This window comes from Homo sapiens, chromosome 11 (assembly GCF_000001405.40).
Source record: "Homo sapiens chromosome 11, GRCh38.p14 Primary Assembly".
NCBI classification, from domain to species: Eukaryota; Metazoa; Chordata; class Mammalia; order Primates; family Hominidae; genus Homo; species Homo sapiens.
Window position 1 is genome coordinate 86,457,360 of NC_000011.10, and position 27,394 is coordinate 86,484,753.

Sequence of the window (27,394 nt, forward strand, 5' to 3'; positions counted from 1 at the left end):
ACCCACCTCTTGTCAGGGTCCCCAAGTACCTCCAGGTGGCCAAATTCAGTAATCAGTTCTCAGCCTTCTTCTTTCTTGACCTCTCAGCAGCATTTGGTACTGTTGCCCATTTTTTTCCTTTGGGAAGCTATTTCTGCACTTGGTACAGGCCAGAACTCAAGAGGAAAAACAGTGGTTCTTAAGCTCCAAATTACAAAATTTGGCAAATAAAGTTATCTCCATCATTAACCTGCATTTTTGGGGTGCTCTTGGGCTATGCACTAGGGGTTTAAAACTGGAAAGGAAGCTACTTAGCTGTTTCGAGGTAACCACTCTGAGAAGCCCATGGGTCCAGGGATGTGCTGGAACATGACTTGTGCCCATAAATGCCATGGGCAGCTGAAAGTGTGGCAGGTTGTTCCTATTCATGGTAAAAGAAAAAGAAGTTTTTTTTTCCAGAGGGAGATTTCCATAATTACATTTCCTGCAAACTGAGTACTTGAGGTTGTAGCTTCAGGAAATAGCACAAAAGGACATGCTGAAAATGTAGTTTCTGCTTTTAATAGTCAGATTTGACAAAGTTAAAGGAGTTGCCATGCTGAACAATAGATTATTGGAGGAAAGAATTTACTGCTTTATCAGGTAAGGGAAAACTTCTGACCCAGGCAGCAAGAAGGACAGAAAGAGTTAGGCTCTGTCAGGGTCTGGCCACGGTGGCTTTGGAGGCCTGGATCCCTATTGGGACAGAACAACCTCTGCTATGAGGCCACACCTGCTTCCACGATCCATAAGAATTACCTTTCTACAGTAGATACTGCCATTCATTTATTCATTAGTATGTGCTGAGTGTTTGTTCTGGGCCTTCTCTGGGCTAGGCCTTGAATAAATAAAGACAAATAAAAGTCTTGTTCTCAAATAAAACTCTCAAGGAGTTGCTAGCATAAGTGTTCCAAAAATTCAGATTCCCCTTTATTGGACACCAAGCAAAGGCTTTCTACATTACTTCAGTGCAATTTTGTGTCATAAGGGAATTTTCTGGAGCTCCTGGACTCTCTAGAGGGCACTTCTCTGGCCAATGGAGAAGATAGGGTTAGGCCTGTTTTGCCACAATTTGGAAAGAACCAGAAGGAATGATGATCATCTTCTTGGCTTCTCTGGAGGTTCGGCTGTTGCAACAGCTAAAAGGGGAGATCTCGGAGGAGCCAGATACATGAGATCCACATGAACTTCAGGACTAGGAACAGCCCTGGAAGTGAAGAACAGCCTCAGAATACAGGACTTAGTGAAAAGGAAGGCTTTGGGAACAGAGGAGAGAAAAGGTTAAAGAGACCAGGGGAAGTTTCATGGCAGGGGGAGAGATCAAGGAAAGGCCTAGAACTGCTACTCAGTGTGTGTAGTGGTGGTGGTGGGTGAGAGAGAGGGCAGTTGACCCCCGACAGCTGGAAATAATCCCTGGCATCTTGTAAACAAGACAAACGAGCTGCACGGTCTTCAGAGATGAGCCAGCCATTCCTGCCTGTCTGCCTCTTCCCTATTGTGGCATCTGAAGCCTGTGCAAAGTCCCCCACACCTTCCCTCTCCAACAAGGTCATTATCTTCCAGGGATGTATTTTGCATTTCTTGGCTGAGAACCCTACCCCTGGCTCACTTTGAAGCCTTCTGTAAAGTGGGTGACCACCGTCCAGTGTCACTCCCAGATCCTGGGGAAGAGTGGGATCATTTAGAGTCTGTGGCTTGGCCCTGGATGCATTATCCTGGGGGAAGTGAAATGAGCCTTTATGGACAAACAGAAAGTAGTGAAGAACAGGAAGAGAATTCTAGGCAGAGGGACCAGCACATTCAAAATCATGGAGTTGGCAGAAAACTCACAGAAGAGTGACTAATACAATGGGCTGGAATAATAGGGAATATGTGGGAAAGGGGAGAAAAGTGAGATGGGGCCCTGCTTCTCTTCTCCCCAGAGTTCCCCAGTCCTGTGCTCACATGTGGCCCTCTCCTCACCTCCATCAAAATCTCTGCCTTAAGTCTCCTCTTTCCTTCTTCCCTCCCGTATCTGTGTGTCACGAGCCTATTAGGCATCAGAGATTATAGTAATAGGTACCATGAACTGAGTACTGCTACATGCCTGTCCCTACCTATACATCACTTCAATCCTTACAACAATTCAGTGCCATAAACGGGTGTTGGAAATACTTAGCAAGGAATTGGCATAGGCTGCAACCAACCATAACAGATGCTGGCCTTATAAAAAAACCCTGACCATTCTGGTGGTACTAGCTGATGAGCAGTTGTGGCTGTTAAAACTGTTAAGTCCATTTTACAGATAAGGAAAGGAAGGTACCGAGAATTTCAGCCACTTGTCCAAAGCCACAAAGCAGGAAAATGGGGATTCAGACCTAGGCTTGTCTTGGTGAAATGTCTGATTGTTAAGCATTGGACTCACAGGGGGTGCTAATAGCCTGACATAACACACAGGAGCCTTTATGGGCGTCTGGCCTGGAGATTTAGCAGGATTGGTGGACAATGCAGGTCCAGGGAAGGCTGGCCAGGTGGAGGAAGCTGCAGAGCTGATGAGCCAGTGGGGCTTTCCTGGCTCCAGCCATGCTGTGTGGTCAGCTTGCAGGTGGAGGCCAGGGACCCACGGAAACTGGGTCAGCAGCACCCTGGACCTGGCCCCTTGTGTGGCTCTCCTTCCTTCCCCTGTCCCCAGTGTGACCATTCCCACTGCCTTTCCCCTTCTAGGCCTTTCTTTCCTCCCTAAGAGCAGAGATGCTTCTCTGGTCCCAGCTGAAACAACAAAAGTCACCTGAGCCTCTGCCTTTTCCAAAATTCCTGAGAGGCTGCCAGCAATGAGTCAGTGCATTGGCAGCTCTGATCACCAAGGACCAGCCTGGGCCTGGGCCAAGGCTTTATGTGGGTCTGAGCTGGGGTGGGAGGCAGAGATGATGAGAAGCCCTGGGGAGCTCTCTTCCCTTCAAGTGCTCGGGCTTCAGAGGCCCAGCCCCTTGGGGTCAGTGATTCTGAGCACATGGTACAGTGGGACTGGTTGGGAGACAGTCAAATAATGTGCCCTAGGCTCCTGCTCTGCACCAGGCATGGCCCTGCCCTCTGGGAGATCAGTAGAGTGGGGCTCCCGAGGATTGAATTCTATCTATCCACTGAGGATGTGAGGCTAGGCTGGTGTTCAGAGTAGGTAGCATGACCCTAGTCTCATTTTCATGTGGGTTGCTCGATTCCAGCCCCCTCCATGTGTGGTTCCCAAGAAGATTCTGAGAATCTGTCTCCAGCTCCCACGTGTGGTGTGATTTGGTTTCTGTTTACAACTATGATTCTGCATCGCTTCCTCCTCCTTCCCACACTCCCTCTCACCCCTTCACTCCCAACCCTCTGTGGTTCTGTGCATGGAGATGCTCCTCTCCCATTATGAGCATGGCTTGTAGTCTTAAGTGGCATTGCTCCTTACTTTGTATTTGGAGATAAAGGGGGACCATTGCAGCATGGGCTGTATCTGCCATGTTGGCTCATTAGTCCTGGAATTCCTTACCAGTCTTCTCATTGTCTGCTTAACAATGAGAACACACATCACAGGCTTCTGGCCTGGACCCATCCCTAACCAGCTTGTGACTGTGGGCCTCATCTTCAGGTCTGCATTCTGTAGGAGTTAGAGGAAGGAATGGGAACGATGGGGAGGGCAGGATGACAGCAGCAGGATGCCAGGGAGCAGTGACACCCACACTGTTTCAGCAGGGTCTGGAATTTCATCCTTAACGAGAAGATACCCTCCACCACTTCACACGTGCAGGAGCAACAGGCAGCCTGATGCCATGGAGAGAGTGGAGAATTCCAAATCAGACATAATGGGGTTCCAGTTCCAGCTTTGTGTCTTTTGTCTGGCTGTGTGGCCGTGAGCAAGCTTTAACCCCCTGGGCTTCAGTTTCCTCATTAGTGACGTGGGACAGCTGTGTTTGTCCCCCAGTGAGGGAGGGGGGGATGTTGCCAGGCACTTGTAAGATAGTGAGGATGAAAAGCACTTTCAACCTTAAGTTCTGTGTGCATGCAAAATGTTATTTGGTACAGTTTGGGTCCCCTGGAAGAAGATTCTGAGTTATATTGGAGTGTTCAGGATGTTTTTAGGAAGTGCCCTTGTGGGAAGGAAGGGAAGGAAGCAGAATGAGTTGAGAGGGAAGTTGAGCTGTGATGCAGGCCCCAAAGCCTCAGCCAGCTCCATGGGGAGCTTGAGTTGTCCTGCACTGGGCTAAAATAGTTAAGCCTTCATATTCCCTCATCACTGGGTGAGGCCAGGCCCTGGTGGGATGGCGAGGTGGCTCTCTCTCTCTGAGGCTCTGCATGATGTGCTGACAGCCTTGCTGTCAGCTGGGCAACAAGTCTTTCCTTGAAGGAGGATCTGGGTGGCGCATGCTCCTGCCCACCTCTTTATGGTTGTTAATGATATGGTCACACCTAAACATCAGGCTGAGCTGATCAAAGGCTGGTTCTTACAGGGCTCCTGCCATTCCAGCACTATTTGCCAGCTGTCCTCATGAGTTCTAGATTGATGGCTTTAGTCTTGAATTTCTGAGAAAAGAATGGGAAGTCCTTCTTCTCTTTGCTCTGGGACCCAGAAAACCATCCCACTTGGTTTTGCCTGGGAGCAAAATTGGCTATAGAGGCAAGACACAAAAACCAATGAATGTAAACAAATGGATTGATTTAATTAAAAACAAACAGCTCCATGTGTCTGCATGTGGGGTACACATGTGAATATGTATGAGCACATGTAGAGGTGCATTTATATGTGAGCACAGTCAATCCTTGAACAACATGGGGTTGAGCTGTGTGAGTCCACTTATATGCAGATTTTTTCAATACATATATTTTTTAAAATTTTGGAGGTTTGTAACAATTTGCGAACACTCACAGATGAACTGTGTAGCCTAGAAATATCAAAAAAATTAAGAAGTTAGGTATGTCATGCATACATAAAATAGGGATAGATACTAGTCTATTTATGTGTTAATCCACTACTGATGTTATTAGTAAGGCTTCTGGTCAACAGTAGGCTATTAGTAGCTAAGTTTCTGGAGAGGCAAAAGTTATGCAGATTTTTGACTGTGTGGGGCATTGGCACCTGTAACCACCACCTTTGTTCAAGGGTCAGCTGTACATGAATGATGACCTGGATAACAGAGAGGCTGCAGGGGCAGGTGTCCAGTGTAGACATACTCACATGAACAGGTGGGTGTGCTTATGAGGATGTCAGTTTGTATGTGTAGACATCATTCATATATTCTTTAAACATTTATTAGGCATCTATCATGTAGCAGGCGCGGTGCTGGGAGCTGGGGAACAAGAATGGATAAGGCATGGTTCTTGCCTCCAGAAGCTTATTATCTTCTGGGAAGGCAGACAATGCAATACAGGCTTTTGGGGTACAATGAAGTAAGAGAACTGACAGAGGGGAACACCTGAGGGGCACCCAAATCAGACTGAGGGAACAGGGGCTGATGGGCCTTCCCTGGGCAGGAGACCCTGGAGCTGGGTCTTTAAGGGTGAGTAGAAATTACTCAGGTAAAGATGATGGGAAAGGGTGAGCAGGGCTTTCAAACACAGAAAGAAATGGCAGGTAAGGAGGTCAGAGGAGTAAAATAAAGGGAAGGGCAGAGAGCAGAAGAAAGATCCCGAAGTCTTATATTTTCATTGAAGGGGTGTGAACTTTCTCATGAAGAGAGGGTGGCATAGTGAGTGATAGTTTCATCTCAGAGGCACATTATCGCAGCAGTTTGGGGGCGGATGGGCCTGGGGGGCTGCAGGGCCTGGCCGTGTTCCTGTGCCTGTGTTTAGGAGGATGTATACACATGTGGCTGTCTGTGTGTCTGTACAGCTGGAGGCTGTGCACCAGGTGTGCCGCCTGCATGGACTTGTTTTCCACTTCCACCCTCTGGCCTTGGCAGCCCGGTGGGCTCAGGGGACTGGCTGTCCTGCTGCTGATTCATGGGTGAATTCATGCTGGGGAGCCGGTCAGGCTCTAGCAGGCAGGTGCTTCCTCAGGGCCAAGGCACACTCCCACCTGCTGAGCTGACAATGAGGTGAGTGAGGGCAGTGAGAGAATGCTTCCCCCCACCAGCGCATCTTCCTGAACTGCACAGCCCTGTCTGCGCAGTGTCCTGGCTTGTGTGGGTGAGGCCTGTCCCAGGCCTATGCAACAGGGTAAGGGGGAGACAGAATGGAGAAAGGCTGGCAGGGGGCACCATGTCCCAGCTTTCTCTTTTGGGTCTCCCCTCCCTCTGGATACCCACTCTTCAGGCACTGAAGTCATATATTTTAAACTAAATTTTCTAATAGTGTGTTCTAACTGTGCTATCTTGCCTCTTGAAAATGTATGACAAATACAAAAAGTCGTCTATCACATTTCTTATACCCTGTAATATGGACCATAATGGGGAAAAAAGGGCAACTTGGTTTGTAATATAAGATCTGGGAATGGCATGGTGAATGGTTATAGACTGCAATTTAGAGTCTGAATGCCTGGGCTCAAATCTCAACTCTATGCTTAATGGCTATAAAAGTTACTTACTCTTTTTCTGTCTCAGTGTTTTCATTCATAAGACAGAGATGCTAATGTCTCATCGGTTTAAAACTGTAGAGTGCTTAGAACAGTGCCCGACATACAATAAGCGTTCAGCGATTAACCTTAGCTGTTATTACCTGAGTTTGAGTTCTTTTCTTTTAGATCTATCCCTGACTCACTTGAAGAAAAGTTGTGACCTCTTTGGGCCTCTGGAGAAGTCATCTGCAAAATGAGAAGTTGGCCAACCTTTAGCAATCCAGGGCCAACACCTGTCTCTTGCCAACTTATTCTTTCCACCTGACATGGATCTTTGATTTTTAAAAGATTGCTTGGCAAACTTCATTTGTTAAAGCATCATCAAGGTTTCTCTCGGACTTTACAAAATGCTAGGAACAGCTCACAGTGCTCCTTCCTGTGCACTTCTAGATCAAGTGAGATGAATCCCTTTCCACTCCAGCTTTGGACACTGGTAACTCCACAGTAAGAAGCAAGTACCTTCAGATATTTCTGGGTCACAGAATAGATGACCAAAGGGAACCTGAACTAGAAGCTGCTTCATGTTGGCTTTGGAAGGCTCTGGGTTCTTGGTGTCAGTGTCTCTCTCAGGGTCATTATGAGCAACAAACACTTCAGTCAAAACCAGAGAAGGAATTGTCCTGACTTCCTGACAGAGACACGCCTTGTATTTGGAAAGTCTAAAAGCAAGTTATTATGGCTGGGGAAGGCCATTTTTATGGTGATTGGTGCTTCGGTCTGATGAGTTTTATGGGTTAGTACTTTCTATAGCATTAGCCTTGTAAATTTTCACCATGCTCTTTCAAGGCAGTTGTTATCCTCTCCATTGACTAGATGATGAAACTGTGGTCAGAGAAGTGACTGGTTCATGTTTAACTTGCTAGTGAATTACAGCATTGTTTAGAATTTCTTACATACATTAAATCACATAATTCTTACCTACCTCTGAAGTAGTAATGATCTTCATTTTGTAGAAAAGGAAACTGAATTCAGAGAATTAAGAATTAGCCAAGTAGGAGTTGAATCTAAGTTTAATATTCTTTTTTCAACAGCTGCTGGCAGCAAACCAACTATGGGGTGACAGCCTTTCCTCACCCCTTTGGCATCCCAGTGAGGTTGAGAATATAAGTTAGTCCCCTGTAGCTTCATCAGGTGGGGTGGAAACCTACCTTGGATGTCATCATTGAACATGCAGTACTTGTTACGGTATTTGTTGAGCAGGCGGAAGGCATTGGCATTGGCGAAGTCTTCAAATTGGATGAGGCAATTTATTCCAAACCTGTGTGGAGGGAGAGGAAGAAACCCATGATTGCCTCTCTGAGGCAGATCCCTGACAGATCCCAGCTTGCACAGTGGGGTGGGGAGGTGCAGGCCTGGGGGTGGGAGGTGGCATGGCTCCTTCATCTGTGTTTTTGCCACTGGTTGGCTCCTGGACTCCTGGGCTTGGAGCTCTGCCTGCCCTATCATGGATGAGGATGGGGAAGGGAGAGAGTAGGACCCTGGCTTTGGTGGTCAGCCAAGGCAGCATCACTATAGCTAAGGTGCGCTGGTGGCTCCCATGGCTGCCATGGCCAGCCCTGGGAGTGACAAGAGGGCCAAGGAGGGGCCTGCCCTCTGTGTAGCCTGTGGCCATCTGAGATCCCAGAAGAAAGCTCACTCCACATCCAAGTGCATGCAGACAGACCAGCTTCCCCACCACAAGTAGGTGGGGAGCCCCTGCATCCTCCAAATATCTCTCTTGCTGGACCCTGAGGCCTGGAGCTCTTCCACTAGAGACTCCTCTGGCACCAGGCATTGTTCTCTGGTAAGATGAAAGGATGGTTAGGAAAGGCCACTGCATTAAGACACTGTTATCTACTAACATCTTGGTGAAGTTGTTCTCCAACTTGCAGGTGTAGAAGAATCAGTTACTGACCTTGTTTAAAAAGCAGGTCACCAGGCCCATCTCACAGAGTCTCACTCGGAGTGTGGGATGGGGTCAGGAACCTGCATTTTGAACAAGCACCCCAGATGGTTCTGATTCTGACAGCCCAGAGAACCCTGAGAAACAATGCCTTGTGGGTGAAGACAATGGCCATTAAGATGCTTGATATGCCTTATTTAAAATCCATGCTAGCATTGCCTCCTAGATTTCATGGCCTTCCCTTAAAAATGACTGAGTTTGTTCGAGTTTTGTAACCTATTTTTCCTTTTAACATTGCCTGTAAGGAAGCTGAGAGTGAAGTTTTTGCTCATTTGCTACAGGCCCCCTCAGCTTCTGTGGGCTTCTGCACACAGATTTCCCCTTTACTCCATTCTTGCTCTTTGATGCTGGTGTTTGATAGTTTTGTTTGTGTCTTTAGCCTTTCTGTAAGCAAGTGTAGTATGGATTATTAAAAACTACTTAATACATGGATAAAAATAGGTTTCACCTCATGGGTCAATTTGTGGCTGAGTAACAGCATCTGAGGTCATGTCATTGAGAAAAAATGTCCTGATTGATCCATAAGAGGTGTCAGGGCATGTAACAGGTAGAAGTGGCCTGCCCTTCCAACCTGGTGACCTACAGGCTTGGGAGCAGCTTGGGACTGGCTGTGGAAATATTTATTACCTTGTTAGAGAAGGTGGGTGGGGCACATGCTTGGGGGGCTTCCTGTGCTCTCGGGGCATCTTTCTGATGAGGCTGGTGGCTATGAGGGAGTGAGGAGCACTGAAATGGCCCACAAAACATTTTTTCCAGCCTTATAATTTTGTGCATGGCTTATGCTGTCCAGCCCAAATACCAGTGGGTGGGCAAATATTTGTTCCTGCCGTGGTCCTTCCAGAACCTTAGCTAGTCAAGGCTGTTGGTAGAAGGACTGGGAGATGGATTCACATTACAGGGGCAGAAACACAGGGGCAGTGACTTGCCACAGTCCAGTGCTTAGAGTGCTGGGCGTGGGTTAGAAGGCCATAGGCCGGACCTGGCTCTCCACATTCAACTGAGTTACCTGCACATGTCACTTCACCTCTCTATTCTACCTCAGTTTCCCATCCATCAGTGGGCACAATAATATCTGCCTGGCTAACATCTGTGAACTATTGTGAGGGTTAAAAGCTGAGGGTGAGGTTTTTCCCCCAGCTTTACTGAGGCATAATTGACAAATACAAATTGCATATATTGAAGGTATAAAATGTGATGATTTGATATATGTGTACAGTGTGAAATGATAACCACAATCATGCTAATTACCACATCCATCACCCCATATAGTTACTATTTTGTGTGTGTGGTAAGAAAACTCAAGATCTACTTTCTTAGTAAATTTCAAGTATACAATACAGTATTACTAACTGAAGCCTGAGGGTAATTTTTAGACCATAAAATGCTAAACACAAATGCCATTCTGGCCACAATTCTTCTTCACAGTCATAGAACAAATGCTGATGGAGGTTTGGTGGGGGGCTCACTGTGTCTCCCCACCCACCATCCAGCCCTCTTTTGCTTGTACTATGAATAGAAATGATAAATAAAACCTCCCATGCACAAATATAATGCCATGCTCACCAAGCCAAAATTTATTGTGAATTTCAAGTATTTGGATTGGGTGGGGAGGAACACAATGTCTTTGGTTGCTGGTGACATTTTGCTATATATAATTTCTACAAGATTCCCAGTGTTGCCCCACAACTGGCCTGCAGCTAAAATGCTGAAAAGGTCAGACAACAAAACAATGTGATGAACGTTTTCTGTCTCTCTCTGTGTGTCTGTCTCTCTCTGTTTCTCTCTCTCTCTCTCTCTCTCTCTCTCTCTCACACACACACACACACACCCCTTTAAGCAACACCACCATTCATTCACTGAGGTAAAAATAAGGCAAGAATTATAAATAAATACCTTTGTTCAGTGTATGATTATTATTTATATTTAATTCAGTTTTATATAAGAAACCCCCCTCCCTCCCATGGAGCAATTTGATGGAATATAGAATAAAACCTCATTAATTGAGGTCACTTTAATCCTAGCTTGGAATTGCATAAGAGGCCATGTGAATCACTCATCCAATAATCTGGATTCATAGTTCCTAGAACTCACCGGATTTAAGGAACCCCAGAACTCCTCTCCACCTTGGGTAACCATCCCCTGGCTGCTTTCTGGACCTTTTATTCCCAGGAACTACTCCTACTCTAGGATTTCACACTGTCCCATCTCAGTCTCTGACCACAGCCTTTCCTTCTATGTCTCTTCACTTCCACTGCACCTGCTGTTTGTCTGCACCAAGACCTCTGAGCCCTTCACCATGTTATCCCAGTGCCTCAGGCCCTCCATTATGGCTTTTCATGAAACCAGACCACTATCCAGTCTGAACCAAAGGTGGTTACTTCATGGTGCTACTATCTTAGCACCATCCATTTAACCACCATCCACCTATTCATCTATCATCATCCAACCATCCATCATCCATCCATCCATCCATCCATTTTCCATCCATCCATCATTCATTTATCCATCCATTCATCATCCATCCATCCATCCATCATCCATCCATCCTTGATTTATCCATCCATCCATTCACCCATCCATAAATTCATCCATCCAAACACATTCATTGAGCACCTGTGATGATCTGATACTATAGTTTAATGTTTTAGGAAGGGGTGGATTGGATCTATGAAGGAGTTGGCGGAAACTTAATGTTTGGAGTTTGTCTGCCAACTCTTTAAACTAATTAAAAACCAATTAAGAAGAGAAAATTTCAAAGTGGAAATTTAAATGGCTTAGTGGATAAAAAAATGTTTCTCAATTCATCCCTGTACATCCAAATACAGGTAATGAGCTTTCACCATAACACTAATTTAAATGTTAATTATCAATTGCCTTACATATTCATTAAAATGCTAACAACAATGGTAAAAAAAATAGCTAGCTTTTATCTAGTGTTTATTACCTGCTGGGCACCGTGCTGAGCTCTTTACATACATTATCTTAATTAATCTTCACATCACCTTATGATGTAGGCGCTGTTTCCAGAGAAGGAATCTGGAGCTACAGATTGCAAGTTATTTGCTCACAGGCTATGTACTCTATTGCACTTGGTAAGTGGTGGAGCTGGAATTTAAATCTGGTTCTGTCTGACTCAAGAACCAGCTTCAGTTTAATTTTGATAGCCTTACAGGTTCTTAAAAAAAAAAGCTAAATAGGTAATAAGGCTGGATTTCTTTCTCCATTGGGAAAGATCATAGGTATGGTGAAGAAAACATTGACCAGGGAGACAGAAAAAATGCAGGAGTCTTGGCTGAGTCCCCTTTCTCTGTCTGGGTCTCAGTTTCCTGGTCTGAGAGCATTGGAGGAGTAGCACAACCTACTTAATATTTGGGGCTGGAATTGAATACTAGAAGCTTCACTCAGGTATTTCTACAAGTCCAGAGCAGGGAGGTTAGACATTTCTCTGTGAGAGCAACATGTGAGGAAAATATGGGGGGTGAGTGTCTTAGAGCCCTTTGTGCTTACACAAACTGGACCAGCTGAGTGAGCAGGGCAAGGCAGCCACCCTCCAGGTCATACTGTGGAACAGAGGCAGGACCCCTCCCAAGAAGCCGTGCTCTCAGCTCCCTACTCAGGGCTCTGGGCAGCTTCCCGATTCTAGTGCTGGCAGCAGCCTGATGTCTATCCTTCTGTCCTGCGAGAAGCTCCCACTTACCGGGGAGGCTTCTGCTTATCTGTCCCCTTTTGCAATTTTGAACTCTTCACCCTCCAGCCCTGGCAGGGGCTGAGGAACATCTGATGCTTCTCCAGTGGAGAATTCCTGCAATGGAGAAAGAGGCACCTTCCCAAGCCACACAGATAGCTTCCCAGACTTCCCAACCCTGGGGACTCAGCTGGGAAATGGCCTTGGAGTGGCCAGGGAAGGCATTCCAAAGCCAGGGCTCACTTAGAGACACAAGGCTAATGAGTGGATGTTTGATTTTGTTTTTTTTTTTTTCCCTCCAGTACTCAGGCAAGGGGAAGCCAGCAAACAGTGACCTGTGCCTGGGAGTTCTGGAGTTCTGGTGAGCTGTGTGTGACGGTGTGATGATACCCAGGCCACAACCAACAGTGCCAGCACCTGCCACCTGGGATGCATCCTCCCATGGGTAGGAGGGTCTGAGGTGGCTGTTCTGCCCTTCTCCCCAGTGTGTGAACCAAATGCAGAGTGAGGGATGTTGGTGGTGCAGAGCATTCCAGGGGCTGCAGACCTAGTTTCTCTTTTCCATAGGTCAGGACCTGCCATTTTTTCAAACACCTGGGTCTGACCTCTTTCAAGCCTGAACAAACATGAGGGACTGGGAAGAGAAGGTGAACTTGCTCAACCTGCCTCTAAATAGAATGACTAAAAGCTACCTCTGGTATTTCCATGGTAGTCCATGCTGTTCCCCTCCCCCCAGAAAAAAACCCACATGCAAGACTTCCACAGCAGAGCGTTCAGTGAGATTATCAGTTGTCACCCAATGGAAAACTATTTCTTTTTTTATTTCCTTCCAGGAACTAGATCTGACAGAATCATAAAAACTCTTGGTCTTTTTTTTTCTATTTTACATATTCCATTAAACTCTAGTCCCTTGAGATGGTCTTAGAGAGAGGTTCTGTGGTTAAGTAAATTTGGAAAACTCTGTGTGTTACACATAGCATACACAATGTGTATTAAAAGCTCTGAAAAATCTTGCAATAAGAAACCTGTTTAACCCAGCATGTTCAAAGCTTATTTGACCAGACACCTTACTCTGTTGCATCTCATCCTCACCACCTATGGTGGAACACACTTTGGGAGACATGGCTCTGCAGGAAGAACTTTGTGCAGGGGGTGCTGGGTGGATTCAGGGCGAGGCCATCTCTCCCCAGGATTACTGCCATTGCTGCTTCTGTCCAGGACCCTACAGTGACTGATTTCACCTCCTTCAAGTTTATTTCCCCTCCCCCAATCCATCTTCCACATATTTCTAAACACAAGTTTATGTCGGCTACTTATTTTCTGAAAATCCTAAGAGGGCTTCCACTGCCTGTGGGGTTATATCCAAATTCCTTAGGTAGTGTTCATTTTGGCCCCAGCTCTATTGCTGAACACCTACTCAGGTCTTCTGACATTCTAGGCACGTTTTCCTGCTTCCTAACCACTGTGGGCCTTTGCACGGTCCCCTGTCTTTGCTCAAGCTGCTGGTTCTCTCTGTCTAGAAGGCGTCTTTTTGTCTAGGCCAACCCCTACTTAAACTGTAAGGCCCAGAGCTTTTTTTTTTTTTTTTTTTTTTTTTTGAGAGACAGAGTCTTGCTCTGTTACCAGGCTGGAGTGCAGTGGCAACCTCCTCCACCTCCCGGGTTCAAGCAATTCTCCTGCCTCAGTCTCCCAAGTAGCTGGAACTACAGGCATGCACCACCAAGCCCAGCTAATTTTTGTATTTTTACTAGAGACGGGATTTCACCATGTTGGCCAGGATGGTCTTGATTTCTTGACCTCATGATCCACCCACCTTGGCCTCCCAAAGTGCTGGGATTACAGATGTAGGCCCAGATCTTAAACTGTAACCTCTTTTAAGAAGTCTTCCTTGACACATCTCTTTCCCTACCCTTAAAATAGTGCTAATTCTTGTCTTCTCTGGGGTCCCGTGATATTCTGGACATATCTGTAACAATATATGTCACATTGTATTACAATTACTTATTGACATTTCTGTTTCAATTAAAGAAATGTATTCGGCAAGTTATCTTCTTTGTGCCAGAAACTATACTAAGTATGATGTAATAAAAATTCAATTCAACAAACATTTTATGCTTGATATGGTGGCACATGCCAGTCATCCCAGCTGCTCAAGAGGCTAAGGTGGGAAGACCATTTGAGCCCAGAAGTTCAAGGCCAGCCTGGGTAACATAGTGAGACCCATATCTTAGAAGAACAAAGCAAAACAAAACAAACATTTCAAAGTGTCTACTATGAACAAGGGACTGTACTACTTGCTAAAACCTCACAGATTTCACAGTTGAATGGGGACACAGGAAAATAAAAAAACAGTTGCAATACTCTGTGGCATCAGTAATAATAAAGATATGTGCCAGGTACATGGGAAGCCTCAAAGAGGGCAGGCAGCTCTGCAGCGGGGAGAGGCAATGAGGGCTTCACAGGGCAGGAGATTAGGAGGTGGGGCTTGAAGGAAGAGCAGAGGTTCCCAGACAGACTGTGGATGGGTGCGGATGGAAGGAGGGAGGAGGGCATCTCAAGGAGAGGGAACAGCATATGCATGAGGACTGAGTGAGTATGGTGCCTTCCTGGAGCTGCAGGAAAATACACAGGGCCGGATCTTGCCAGAGGAGGCTGAAGATGGGGAGGACATGGGGAGAAATGAGCCTTGGTGGAATGCAGGAGCCACCCCTTTCATGCCCATGTAAACAGCCTAAGCAATCTGGAGGGCAAGGGGGACCCACTGAGGGCTTTAGGCAGGAAGGTGGCGGGTGTTTTAGGAAGTTTATTCTGGCAGAAATGGATGATGGGATGGACAGCTGGGAGGACAGACTGGAGACAAGGAGGCATGGAACTGCAGTGAGAGATTGTGAAGTCCTGGTATTAATATAAGGCAGTGCAGACATGTAGGCAGAGAAGAAGCTGGGTAAAATATGTTAAGGAAGTGAAAAGAGTAGCCTGGAGGAAAGACAAAGTGTGGCAGAGCATAGACAGCTTTGAGACTGAGCAGGTGTGGCTCCATCACTTACTAAACGCATGACCTCAGGAAATGTACTTGATACAAATTTCAGTCTTCACTGATAATAGTGGGCTAATAATACCTCTCTTGCAGTCCTGTTGTGCAAATTAGATGAGATAATGTACATAAAAATCCAGCACACTATAGGCACTGAGTCCTCGGAGGCAATGATTATTAAGGACAGGATTTAATAATAGACCAGATATGGAGATGAATGAGAAGGAGGAGCCCAGGAAGGGCCGAGGATGGAGGGTGAAGTCCTTTACTCATCAAGGTTGGGGATGGGGAAAGAAAGGCAAACTTACTTGATAAGGCGGAGTTGGCACATGAGGAGTCCCAGGTTCTGTGGAACGTTCTAACGAACGTGTTCATGAAGCAATGGGCTATACATGAGGTCAGCGGAGGGGAACAGGCAGCTCAGGGCACTGTGAGCAGTTGAAGCCATGGGATTGGGTGAGGGTTCTCAGGCAGCGCCTGTGCACAGAGCAGGGAGCAGGGCAAGGACACAACCCTGGGACACCCTGCATCCACGGAGCAGAGAGAGATAGTGGAAGAAAGTCCAGCCAAGGATAGCGAGCAGGTTGGGCCCACACAGCAGCTGCTACCAGAGCCACGCAATGGGCCGTGGTCGGGAGCATCAAATACTGCCAACATGTCAAGTGAAACAGGGACCACAAAGTGTACATTGGAGTCGTTGTTTAGAGGATCACTGGTGACCTTCGCAGACCACTTTTGGTGGGGAAGGGAGGGAACCATCTGGCATGGGGTTAAAGTGAAAATGGAAGGGGAGGAAATGTTGGTCATCACAAATTTCAAGAAGCTTGGCTGTGAAGTAGGCAGGGTGACAGCTGTTGGGGGAAGTGGGACTGAACGGTGAATTTGTTTTGGGGATGGGAGGTATACATATGAGATACAGGAGTCAGAATGGAGGGGAGATGAGAGATGACAGGGCTGGTGAGATCCTGAGAGCTAGGAGGAGGTGGGGGCTAGAGCACAGTTAGAATGGGAAGAAGACACAGTCAGATGTCATAGGACAGATAAGAGGCCGTCACAGCACAACTCTGCCACAGACTTGCATGAAGAGTGACTTATTCTGCTGGGGGTGTGAATCAGCAGAGGGGGTCATGTTTTGCGGAAGGATTCACAAGGATGACAGGGAATCTATACCATGGGTGAAAAAACTGGATACCGTGGATTGGAGAAAGAGGGAATACGGAGCCTGAGAAGGGCAAGTGTAATTGGGCATAATGATTATCTTCAATCATAGGAACGACTGTTTGTGGACAAGGACTTAAGCAGATTGATTTTGTATGGCTTTGAGGCAAAAGCAGAGCCAATGAGTGGAAGTCAGAAGGACACAGATTCCAGTGCCATATAAGGCAGAGATTTCAAACACTGGTTGGAAAGAGACTGCTGGTCACTGGAGGTGAGTCCATGGTCACCGGAGCTCCACTTGGCACGGAAGTCGTGGAAGGGATTTCAGCCCATGATGTGAGGGTGGACCTCTGAGGCCCTTCCCTTCCCAGCTCCCAGACTGGGAGATTCCCTGGTGTGCTGGGGTCTGGCAGCCAGACTGGCAGGCTCCTGAGACTGGGATTCTGGCCTAAGGGGGAAAACTCCCATTGACTCGCAACATAGTCACAGGAAGCAGTAACTTCTAAGCAAAAGTCCCAGGATAATGTGGCCATTCCTCAGTCACAGCTCTGACGGCAAGTCTTGGCCAGACAGAAAACACTCAGGAACAGCTTGGCTTTCCTCCTGATTTTCCCTGTTTGTCTGAGTTCCGGGGCAAGCACACCAAATGGCGCCAGAAATCTCATTGCTGGGGAGGGGATGGTGGCTGACCTGCTGACCTCTCAACCTCCCAAAGGTCAGTGGCAACACAAAGGTTTTCCTCTAGGACATGGCAACTCACTCCTCAACCTCCTGCTTATAAAGCTTTCTTGGCCACCAACCCACTGGCTGGCTTGGGGGCTTCAGCATGTATGTCAGCCCATATTTGTCCTTAGATTGTGCATATCAGGTTGGCATGAGGCCACAGGTGTCCTCCATGAAGGTTTTTTGATTAATGAGGCCCTTTCTGAGTGTTCTCTTCAGTTGCTAGCGCTTTCCTGGGAATAAGGTCATGACTTTTAAAGTCCAAGTAAATGTCCCAGATCTTTTGATCACCTTATGCCCTTTATCAACCTTGATCAACGCTGCAGGCAAGGCCATTGGCTGCGTACACATTAAATCTATGCAAACCCAGCAGTAATTATTTGGGAATTTCCCTTGTAGTTTATAAATTCCTTGACAGCAAAGTCTACTTCTGACTTCTTGCCATATTCAATAAAGGAATTAATAAATGGATGGATGAATACATGAATAAATAGGAAAACAAATAACTGAATGTGGTCTTAAACTATTTTTCTGGTGACTTTATGTGTCCATGTTATAATCACAGGGAAAATTGAATTCTTCAGGACAAGTCTTTTCTTTGTTGATTTAGTTTGGATGTATGTTGCCAGCCAAATCTCATACTGAAATGTAATTCCCAATGTTGGAGGTGGGGCCTGGTGGGAAGTGATTGGATCATGGGGGAGGAGTTCTCATGAATGGTTTAGTACCATCCCTCTGGGTACTGTCCTCGTGATAGTGAGTTGTCATGAGGTCTGGTTGTTTAAAAGTGTGTAGTACCTCCCCTTTTGCTCTCCTGTTCCTGTTTTCACCATGTGATATACCTTCTCCCGCTTTGCCTTCTGCCATGATTGTAAGCTTCCTGAGGCCTTCTTAGAAGCTGAGCAGATGTTGGCACCATGCTTCCTGTAAAGCCGGCAGAACCATGAGCTAATTACACCTCTTTTCTTTGTAAATTACCCAGTCTCAGGTATTTCTTTATAACAATGTGAGAAGGAACTAATATATTTGTATTGGCCACATTGTGGGGTACAGGGAAGGCACGTGATAAATATAGCCTGAATGAAAATTTGGAGGAAATTTCATGAATTACATGAAGGAGGGCACATAATTGGATAAGTTTTCCTTAATTTCCCACAGCTTTTCTCATTATCTGGCCTTGGGGAAATAATTTTCTCTTTGGGTCTCAGTTTCCTCATCTAAAAAGTGAGGAAATTGGATCAAATGAGTGGGTTGTTTCTTGCTCAGATATTCCAAGAATGCAAGATTAAAGTCCTAGGCTGGATCCAGTGAGAAAATGAGAATTCTAAGATACAGACTGAACCACAGAAGGCATTCCTAATATTCAGTATATATATATATATATATATATAGAGAGAGAGAGAGAGAGAGAGAGAGAAAGAGAAAGAGAGAGAGAGAGAGCAGTGACCCTCTATGCTGAGAGGGACTCAGAATGTGAACACCCCTGTGAAACATTGCAATCGGGGCTTAGACCTAACAGCTTTTCACAATCTTTTAAAATTAACATAAAATCCTCATTAACTTCCTTTGTAGTCTGGATGCTATATGCCTAGGGATTTTTCTTTGCATATGTTGTGTTAAAACCAACAGGAGAAGCTTGGAGCTACAGAACCTCAGCTAAGCTTTTGGCAGGACGCTCAGTTCTAACATCCTGTCTTGTACAGACCTCCACACTTGACCTTGCCTGCTGTGGACCTATCTGCAGGCCTGAATGATGAGATGGAAACAGCCCTGAAAATGAAAGGACATTCAAGGCTGGGAAAATAGCGAGCACGAAGGCTCTGCCTCTGTAACAGAGACAACACATTTAAGGAGCGGCAGGAACAGGGGTGGGAGTTGGAGCCATCAAAGGCATCCTTCCAGCTCTGAGGGCAAAGTACAAGGCTTCTATATGTGGAGCCTCTGAATAGGTCAGTATCAGTGGGTGATCTCAGAGCAATTTTGCAGCTTTCTCTTGGGCAAGCTTCTGTTTCTCATTTCTGTACAGAGAACTGTGTCTCATGAAAAGATGTTTGGTTACTTGAGGGGGTGACTGACTCTGAGTGGTGAGTTTGAAAGGCCCAAGTAACACTCAGCTTCAAACAGCTGCAAAAAAATATAAGAACACCTCACCCTCAGGAACACACGGACCATACTGCTCCCCTCTATGTACACATGAATCTACACAACACCGTCCACTGGAGGAGGGAGAGCAAAACTGAATAGGTCTGTGTTGGGGGTGGGGATGAAGACCAAGCATTTACTAATTGCACATACCAGGGATCTAAAATGGAAATGGATCACACCTAGGGCTGTTTCATTTTTGTTTTTGTTTTTTCCTTCCTAGGTTTAGCACTGGGGAAGAGAGGAAAAGTAATATTGGAATGAAGGGGAGGGATGGGTGAGGGACTGTGGACAGCAGTGTTGGACATGTGAATGGATATATTAACTCAAACATGAATGCGTGAATGTGGGCACAGTGAAGCACTGCCTAAAGGAGAATGGCTTTGGAAACTGCCTAAATTAATAATAATAGCAAACATGATTTTTTTACTATCACTCAGGTGTATGTTAAACATTTTACATGGATGGCCTCATTTATCCATCATAAGTACTCTCCCAGTCTTAAAAATGCATTTTAGAGAGGAGGAAACTGAGGCACAGATGAATTAAGTCACTCGTTGATAAGTGTTAATAAGTAGCTTGTTAATAAGAGATTGGAACTCAGGCAGTCTAGCTCTAGAATTCGTGCTTTTAACAATTGCAGTTAGTGGGTAGGGTCTTAATCAGGCTCCCCTTTCTTAGATGAGGTACTTGTACTTTGTAAACTTCAGTTTCTTCATCTCTTAAAATAAAGTGAATAGTACCTAACTCATACAGTTGTTGTGAGAATTAGACAAGTTAATATTGTGTGAAGTGCTTGTATCAGTGTCTGCTTATGGTAAGCAATTAAATAATTAAGAGTTATTATTGTTATTATTGGTACTTATTCATTGAAAGGGATCAGATCCCTGCTCCCCGCCACCCATAAGACCCTTATATTCCTTCATCTCTTCTGCCATAATCTAAAAGTTTCAGTTCTGGGGATGATTTTGTTCCTATTCTTGATACCAAGCGATAAAATCAGGCTGCTAAGAGAAAATGAAAAGGAAATAGCCAGCTAGTGTCATTGAATCATATCCCGAGGCAGTGAGTTTCTTCCAGCACATTTTGGCCTCAGTCCTGAGGCTGGACCTTAACTAGTGAACTGCAAACTCACTCAATTATGCAGTCTGCTTGGTGCGATGGAAGTGAAAATGTCCTAGAGAGTTGGGTGCTAGTATGCATTTTGATAGTCTCCTAGCCTGTGACCCAGGACAGATTCCTTGCATGCATAGGAGTTTGTCACCATGCAAAATCTGGCTGTTGTTCTTCTGAGAACATGGGGGAGCTGGACTGTCAACAATGAGCCATATCAGGCTGAAACTGGGAAACTGTTCTGCTCCTTCAGAGTCAAGACAAGCCAGAATGAGTGTCAAATTTCCTTCCTCTGTGCTTCCTCAGATGTGGTCAGATTCATAGCCTTCAGTCTATTCTAATTGGTAGCTAGCCTGGTGTGGACTTTTGACCACCCACCAATCAACCAACTCCCACCCTCACCATTTACTGCACGAGTAAAGCCACGCTTCCTAGGAACTACCATTGGTAGAGATGTTACTGAGTCATAGGCCCTGAGATAGGAATGATCTATAAAGGCCATCCACGCCAGTTCTTGAACCCTTCTACAACAGTCCAGACTCATCTTTGCCCAATCTCTCCTCTGACAATGAAAGCCTAAGGACCAAAAAAAAAAAAAAAAAAAAAAAAAGGTTAAAGAAAAGCAATAGGCCATTTTAGCAGAGATGTCACAATGCAGTGCATGATTAATTAATTAGCAAATGAATTCTACAGCCAGTAAGATTACAGTCAGGGCAAGAGTATCAGGCCAGGCTGGTCAGAGTAGATTTCCCTAGGGAAGGCAGAATTTGAATTGGGGCATTGTTATGGGTTCTGCCTCTAATCTCTTCCCACATCTTGTCAATTTTAATACAATACTTTTGTTGCTCAAGAACCTACCATGCCTCCCTATTGCTCACTACATCAAGTCTCAAATAAGGTATTTTGTGGATTGGTAATTTTCAAACATTTTTTGCAGAATAATTCTTTAATAAAATATTGAGCAGAAACCAGATATAGAAGGCAATGAAAAACAATAAAGTGTTTCCTCAAGTGGTTTACATTTTTTATGGTTGGTGGAAAGTATTTCATTTCTAGCACTCCTGATATGCTTCTTTGGAGTCCTGGGGCCCAGGGAAGCTTGGTTTAAAAACCACTGCATTAGATGACTGTAGCCCCTTCCACTTTTGAGCTCTCATAATCATGACCTTCTGCCTGGATTGCAAGGCCTATCTTAGTGTGATGGTTAATTTTAGGTGTCAACTTGGCTGGTTTAGGGGATACTCAGATAGCTGGTAAAGCATTATTTCTGGGTATGTTTGTGAGGGTGTTTCTGGAAGAGACTGGTATTTGTATTAGTAAATTGAATAAGGAAGATTCACCCTCACCCCATATGGGCAGGCACCATCCAGTTGGTTGATGGCTCAGATAGAACAAAAAGGCAGAGGAAGGGTGAATTCGTTCTCTCTTCTGAATTTGGAACACCCATCTTCTCCGGCCCTTGAGCATCAGAACTCCAGGCTCTTTGGCCTTCTGACTCCAGGATGTGCACCAGCGGCCCCACTTTGGATTTATACTGAGCTATGCCACCAGTTTCCCTGGTTCTCCAGCTTGCAGACACCATATCATGGGATTTCTTTACCTCCATCATCACGTTAGCCACTTCTCATAATAAATCCACTCTCAAGTATCTAAATACCTAATATCCTATTGGTTCTGTTACTCTGGAGAAACCTAAATAATAGATGTAGCCAGCACCATTCTTATTTAACCTTATTTAAAATCACTGAACATTCATTTTTAGTTGGCCCATTCTTGTAGATACTCATTGCCTTCCCTGTATATTCATTGCTTTTCCTGTGTTCTTGCTTTTCTCATGATGTACCTTCTATATGGAACATCATTTTTTCTCCTGCTGCTTACTTGAATTCGGTCCTAAATTTGTACAACTTCCATTTCTTCCCAATCATCCCTGATTGTCCCTTTCTCTGAATTTCCATTGAACTGAGGGTCAACACCAAATAGTTGGGTACTGAAGTCTTCCCTAATTATTTTCTATTCAAAAATGTCTTCTTGGAAGGACTGTAAGGTTGTTGAAGACACAGCTGATGTCTTTTTTTCTTTCTTTTTTTTTTGAGATGGAATCTCACTCTGTCGCCCAGGCTGGAGTGCAGTGGTGCCATCTCAGCTCACTGCAACCTCCACCTCCTGGGTTCAAGCAATTCTCATGCCTCAGCCTCCTGAGTAGCTGAGATTACAGGTGTGTGCCACTGTACCTGGCTAATTTTTTTTTGTATTTTCGGTACAGATGGGGTTTCGCCATGTTGGCCAGGCTGGTCTTGAACTCCTGACCTCAAGTGATCCACCTGCCTTGGCCTCCCAAATTGCTGGGATTGTAGGCATGAGCCACCGCGCCTGGCCTAGCTGATGTCTTTTATTTCTTTTGAATCTCATTACAGTGCCTAGTAGAATGTTGGATATGTAGTCATTATTCAGAAGCACTGGAAATGCATGATCAGATACATGCTTTGTTAGTGCTGCTTCAAGCTTCTATGATGAGTTTTCTCATCTGTTATGAAAATAAAGCTCACTTCCCAGAGTTTTGGTTGCAGTACCTACTGTTTCTATCTCTTTGCTGGCAAAATGTATTCCCTCACGGGATAAGTATACCCTTTCCAGTTTGAAGAGTCAAATTCCCAAATAGGCATATTTTTTGGGAAGGTGATATGATTTTGTGTACTTTCACAGGAAGCCATTTAGAAGAAATTCCCCAAACAAGGCAGTCACCACTGTCTTTACCTAACTAATGAGTTTGCCATCTCCCTCTTCCAAGCTCACTGTCCAGAAACTTCCCAAGCAGGCCGTTTCACTGTCATGAAGTCAAGGCACTTTGTGGGGAATCAGGCCCAACATGTGCCTGCTTGTGGAGAAGGGCAGGCCTGATTCTTGCCCACGATGTGTCTTTGGGGCCGAGGTACCCAGATGTGTGAGTGCTTTCCCCACATGTAGAAATGCAATTATTCCCCGCATGAAAGCAGCTGAAGTTCCTCAGGGCAAAGGGGATTCCAGCAGAAACAATGGGCACAGCTCTGCTTGGGAAGTTTCCAGACTAAAAGGAAGCTGCCAGAGCTGTAGGTGTATTGCAAGGTAGACCTCCATGGCAGGGTGAGCTCAGAGAACACACTGGGTCTTTCCTAATGTAGGTCCCTGCTGATAAAACTGTGGAAAGTCTCTGTGTATTGGTCCTTACACCCTCACCTTGGGCTTCAGTCTGACTCTGAAAGTGGGAGGAGCTGGGGCCGCACAAGTTGCCTCTTCTGGGGATGTGGTCCATTAGTTTCTCTTTTTATTTTATTTTATTTTTAAGAGGGTCTCATTCTGTTGCCTAGGCTGGAGTGCAGCGATACCATCATAGCTCACTGCAGCTTCAAACCCCTGGGCTTAAGTGATCCTCTTGCTTCAGCTTTCTAAGTAGCTGGCAATAAAAGCGAGTGCCACCACACCCAGCTGATTTTTTTTTTTTTTTTTTTTTTTTTGGGAGACGGGGGTGTCACTATGTTGCCTGGGCTGGTCTTGAACTCCTGGCCTCAAATAATCCTCCTACCTTGGCCTCCGAAAATGCTGAGATGACAGGTGTGAGCCACTGTGCTCAGCCGAAGAGTTTCTCAAATTTCAGTCTTTGCACAGCTCTATGAGAATCATTAGGACAGCTTCAAAAATACAGATGTCCAGGTCTCAACCCAGGCCTTCTGTGGCATAGGAGCCTGAAGTCTGTATTCTTGACAAGTTTCCTTGATGACTCAGAAGCAAAGCCAGATTTAGGAACCATAGGTCAGTATTAGCATATTAGACCCACTGCTTTGCTCCAGAGTGTATTGGGAGTGGGTGTGGGGGTGGAGTGTACCCAAGAGAGCATATTCCTGCATGTTTTTGTAACTCAGAAGAAGCAGCTGCAGCTTCATGTGGACTAAAATAGAGGCCTACTTTAGCTCTTGAAATATCCTGAACACCTGGAGAAAAATAACCCAGAGCCTCCTTTAGCCTCGGAGTTGCTATTTAGTTGTGGGAGTTGCAGGATCAGCTGGCATGAGTGCTCACAGAGTCACAGATGCTTAGGTCACAAGGCTCCTCACAGCTCCAAAGGGGGCAAAGGATAGCACACTGCTGCCACCCCTTATTCCATGCTCAGGGCAGACATTGCTAATCAACCATGATGCTCATCCCTGTTGAACCCAGAGAGGTTCAGAGTCCTAAGCAATCAGAGCTGGCACAAGGAATGAAACCTTTTACCCTCCTTGCCATTCTTACCAACAATATCCTAGTCTAGTCCTAAAATTTGTTGAGCACTTTGACTTGCAGTTATCCATAGGACACAGTTCAGAAAACCATGGTGAGTCATATTCTCTTCTCTTTGGGAAATCTCAATCATTCCCTTGATATTAATACTATCTATGGGTTGGCAACTCCCAACTTTATGTTTCTGCACCAGAACTCTTCTTGAGCTCCAGACTTACACAGACACTTAGAGGCTAAGAAAGTGTAGAGTCTCAGGTTATCTAAACTTCAATAGATACATACGAAATGTTTTTGACTATGTAGCTCTCTGAGAGGAGGACTGTTTATTTCTCTGTGTATTGCTCACTATGCCTGGCTCAGTGTCTGGTGTACAGCAGGTACTAGGTAGACATGCTCATTGATTTTATATACCATTCCCCTGCTTATCTGTGTAACTGAGTTATTCTTTTCTCACGCCTTCCTATAGTGAGGGCTGCCCCATTCCTCATCCTACCCAGGCTAGATAGGGTGTGGCAGTCTCTGACATTGGTGGCCCCCAATGCACCATACCTCCTAGTATTTATTTCCTTGTATAACCTCCTCCCTTGGAATCTAGTATGGACCTATGATTTGCTTCAACCAGTATAATGTGGTGGAAGTTAGACTGTTCCAGTTCCAGGTCTCATCCTTAAGAAGGCCTGGCAGCTTCCACTCTTGTGTTCTTAGGAGCCCTAGACTATCATGTAAAACGTTCAGCTATCCTGTGAAGAGAAGAGGCCATGTGAAGAAGGAGAGACCCTAAGACTCAATGGAAAAACAGAGGAGCCCAACCTTTCCAGTGTCCCAGCTGAGCCCGCTCCCAGCTAGTTAGCCAGCTGAAAGCAGCCATATGTGTGACCATTGGCAAGACCAGGAGAAGAATCACTCCAGCTGAGTCAGTTCAGCTTCCAAGAATCAAGAGCAAATAAAATGTTAAGCCAGTAAGATTTAGGATGGTTTTTTAACACAGCAAAAGAAACAGATGTGTTCCTTGACACCACAGATCAAGAGGCAAGTGAACAGTCTTGGAATCTTATCTCCTTGTTTTTAGCTTTAACTTTGGTGCTCTGCTCTGCACAAAGGCCCGACAAGTAACAATTCCTTTGATCCCTGTAAATCTGATCAGGGCACAGTAGAGACATCTAGTCATTTTGACAGTACGTATATTTGAACAGAAACCTTTAGGGTAGCCGTCCAAATGTAAAGGTAGAAACAAGTGGGATGAGTAGCAGAGGAGAGATGGAATGGGAGGAGTCCCATTTAGGTTGAAGTGACACAGAGAATGAATGCTGGAGCAAGCGGGGTTGGCTCTGGAAGGACAGGGGCTCACATCAAGTGTGGAAGGTAACATTAAGGAGTGGGCCTGTGGTAACTGGCTCCAGATATCAGAGAGGCCAAGGGCTGTCTGAATTTCTCTGAAAACTAGAAGTTTCTACAAAGAGCACTAATAGAGAAATTGTGATTTCCAATATGGTGTGTATCTCAGGGATTACGTGTGTGTGTGTGATTATGGTGAGGGGAAAGAGAGAGAGAGAATGAATGAATGAATGCACAGAGACAACAAAATGGAGAGACTAAAAAAAAAATTTTCCTAGAGCTAAAAAGTAGATGACTTTTTAAAAAGGTTTATTTATTATTTCCCTTCTTTAACACTCTCATCTAAGCAGCTTAAGAATCCCTGTATTTAGGGTTTGGGAACTAGGGAAGAAGCGGGTGATTTCCTTTCCTGGCCTGCCTAAAGGCCAAAGCTGCTGCTGACATCAAGTTTCTGTCCAGCCCAGGCCAATTATCAGACAGAGTTAGGGCTCCAGGTGCAAACTCAGAACACAGTCAACTCCCATCCTTGCTACTGTAAGTAACAGAAATGAAAAATGTGAATGGAAACCATCAGGGAAAACTCGTGACAGCAGGAGGTGGTGCCCGGGTACAATGCACCCATCCACTGCATGACAGGGAAAGAGCGGGAAGAGTGGGGCAATCAGTCCTTGCCATCAGTCTTTGTCTCAGCTTTGAGAAGGACACTCCCAGCTGTCTGTTGCTGTGGTTCACAGACTAAATGGAGATTCCTTCTGTCCTGGCAGGTTCTCCTCAGTGGCCAAGCTCCACGGCAGGAACTGAGCCATAGTAAGTTTATTTCAGGCCAAAAAATCTTAACATACATCCCCATTAGTGGGTAGGGGTAGGAAGGTGGAGCTTTTTATTAGCAGGATGTTTGGACAGAGATGAGGATGTTGAAAGCAGGAGTCAACATTTCCCAAGGTTCTTTCTTAAAATACATTGTGTTTGACTTTGGAACTCCTGACTCACCCCCAGGCTGGGCATTCTGTCTTGGAGCTACTGTATTCCCAAGAGTGCTTGGGGAGACCAGCTCATTCCCCACCTACAGTATCCACAGAAACATCTGCTATAGCTTATTAGAAAGTCAAAACAACCAACCATCAATCCATCATGTTTTCTGTTTAATGACACATTCCTGTTGGCTGACGCATGCCCCTCCCCAAGGATCCCGCCCCCCGCTCCCGGACTGCCTGTGTGTGTGTGTCTGTAAAACTGTGAACTGATTTTGAGGATAGTTTGAACAGCTTCTTACATCCTAGTTTATTTAACCTTCTCACACGAATAGCAATACTTTTCTGTGGGGAATCACAGAATGATTACTGACTCATTAGATAAGCAGTGAGCCCTGGAAACAGGAAGCAAAAAGTGGGCTTTCAAAGCCAATTTCATTCCCTTCTCTTTTCA

The 27,394-nt window shown here is 45.4% G+C and overlaps 1 protein-coding gene across 23 annotated transcripts in view, besides 2 other annotated features; it reads right to left on the reverse strand.

The window, feature by feature from the left end:
- The window catches only part of ME3 (malic enzyme 3), a 237,687-nt gene that overhangs the window by 22,430 nt on the left and 187,863 nt on the right, over positions 1 to 27,394 (reverse strand). For 12 of the 23 annotated variants that reach the window (NR_172888.1, NR_172889.1, NR_147828.2 and 9 more), the window contains one exon: positions 7,732 to 7,841. Coding sequence is in view for 10 of the 23 variants with exons in the window: in NM_001395868.1 (NP_001382797.1) it covers positions 7,732 to 7,841 (110 nt within the window). In the remaining 13 variants the exon portion in view is untranslated. Of the gene's footprint in view, positions 1 to 6; positions 401 to 4,670; positions 4,914 to 5,206; positions 5,319 to 6,684; positions 6,770 to 7,505; positions 7,546 to 7,731; positions 7,842 to 27,394 lie in introns of those variants that run through there. The other 11 variants (NR_147830.2, NR_147829.2, NR_147831.2 and 8 more) reach the window with 6 other exon arrangements.
- Positions 2,614 to 3,142: an enhancer, noted in NCBI's record as "H3K4me1 hESC enhancer chr11:86171015-86171543 (GRCh37/hg19 assembly coordinates)". NCBI's record gives its function as "activates a minimal SCP1, AML or CMV promoter by ChIP-STARR-seq in primed H9 embryonic stem cells {active_cell/tissue: H9 hESC(primed)}" and the evidence as "EXISTENCE:reporter gene assay evidence [ECO:0000049][PMID:30033119]".
- Positions 27,008 to 27,302: an enhancer, noted in NCBI's record as "tiled region #11231; HepG2 Activating DNase matched - State 9:DNaseU, and K562 Activating DNase unmatched - State 8:EnhW". NCBI's record gives its function as "activates a minimal TATA promoter and a strong SV40 promoter by Sharpr-MPRA in HepG2 and K562 cells {active_cell/tissue: HepG2 | K562}" and the evidence as "EXISTENCE:reporter gene assay evidence [ECO:0000049][PMID:27701403]".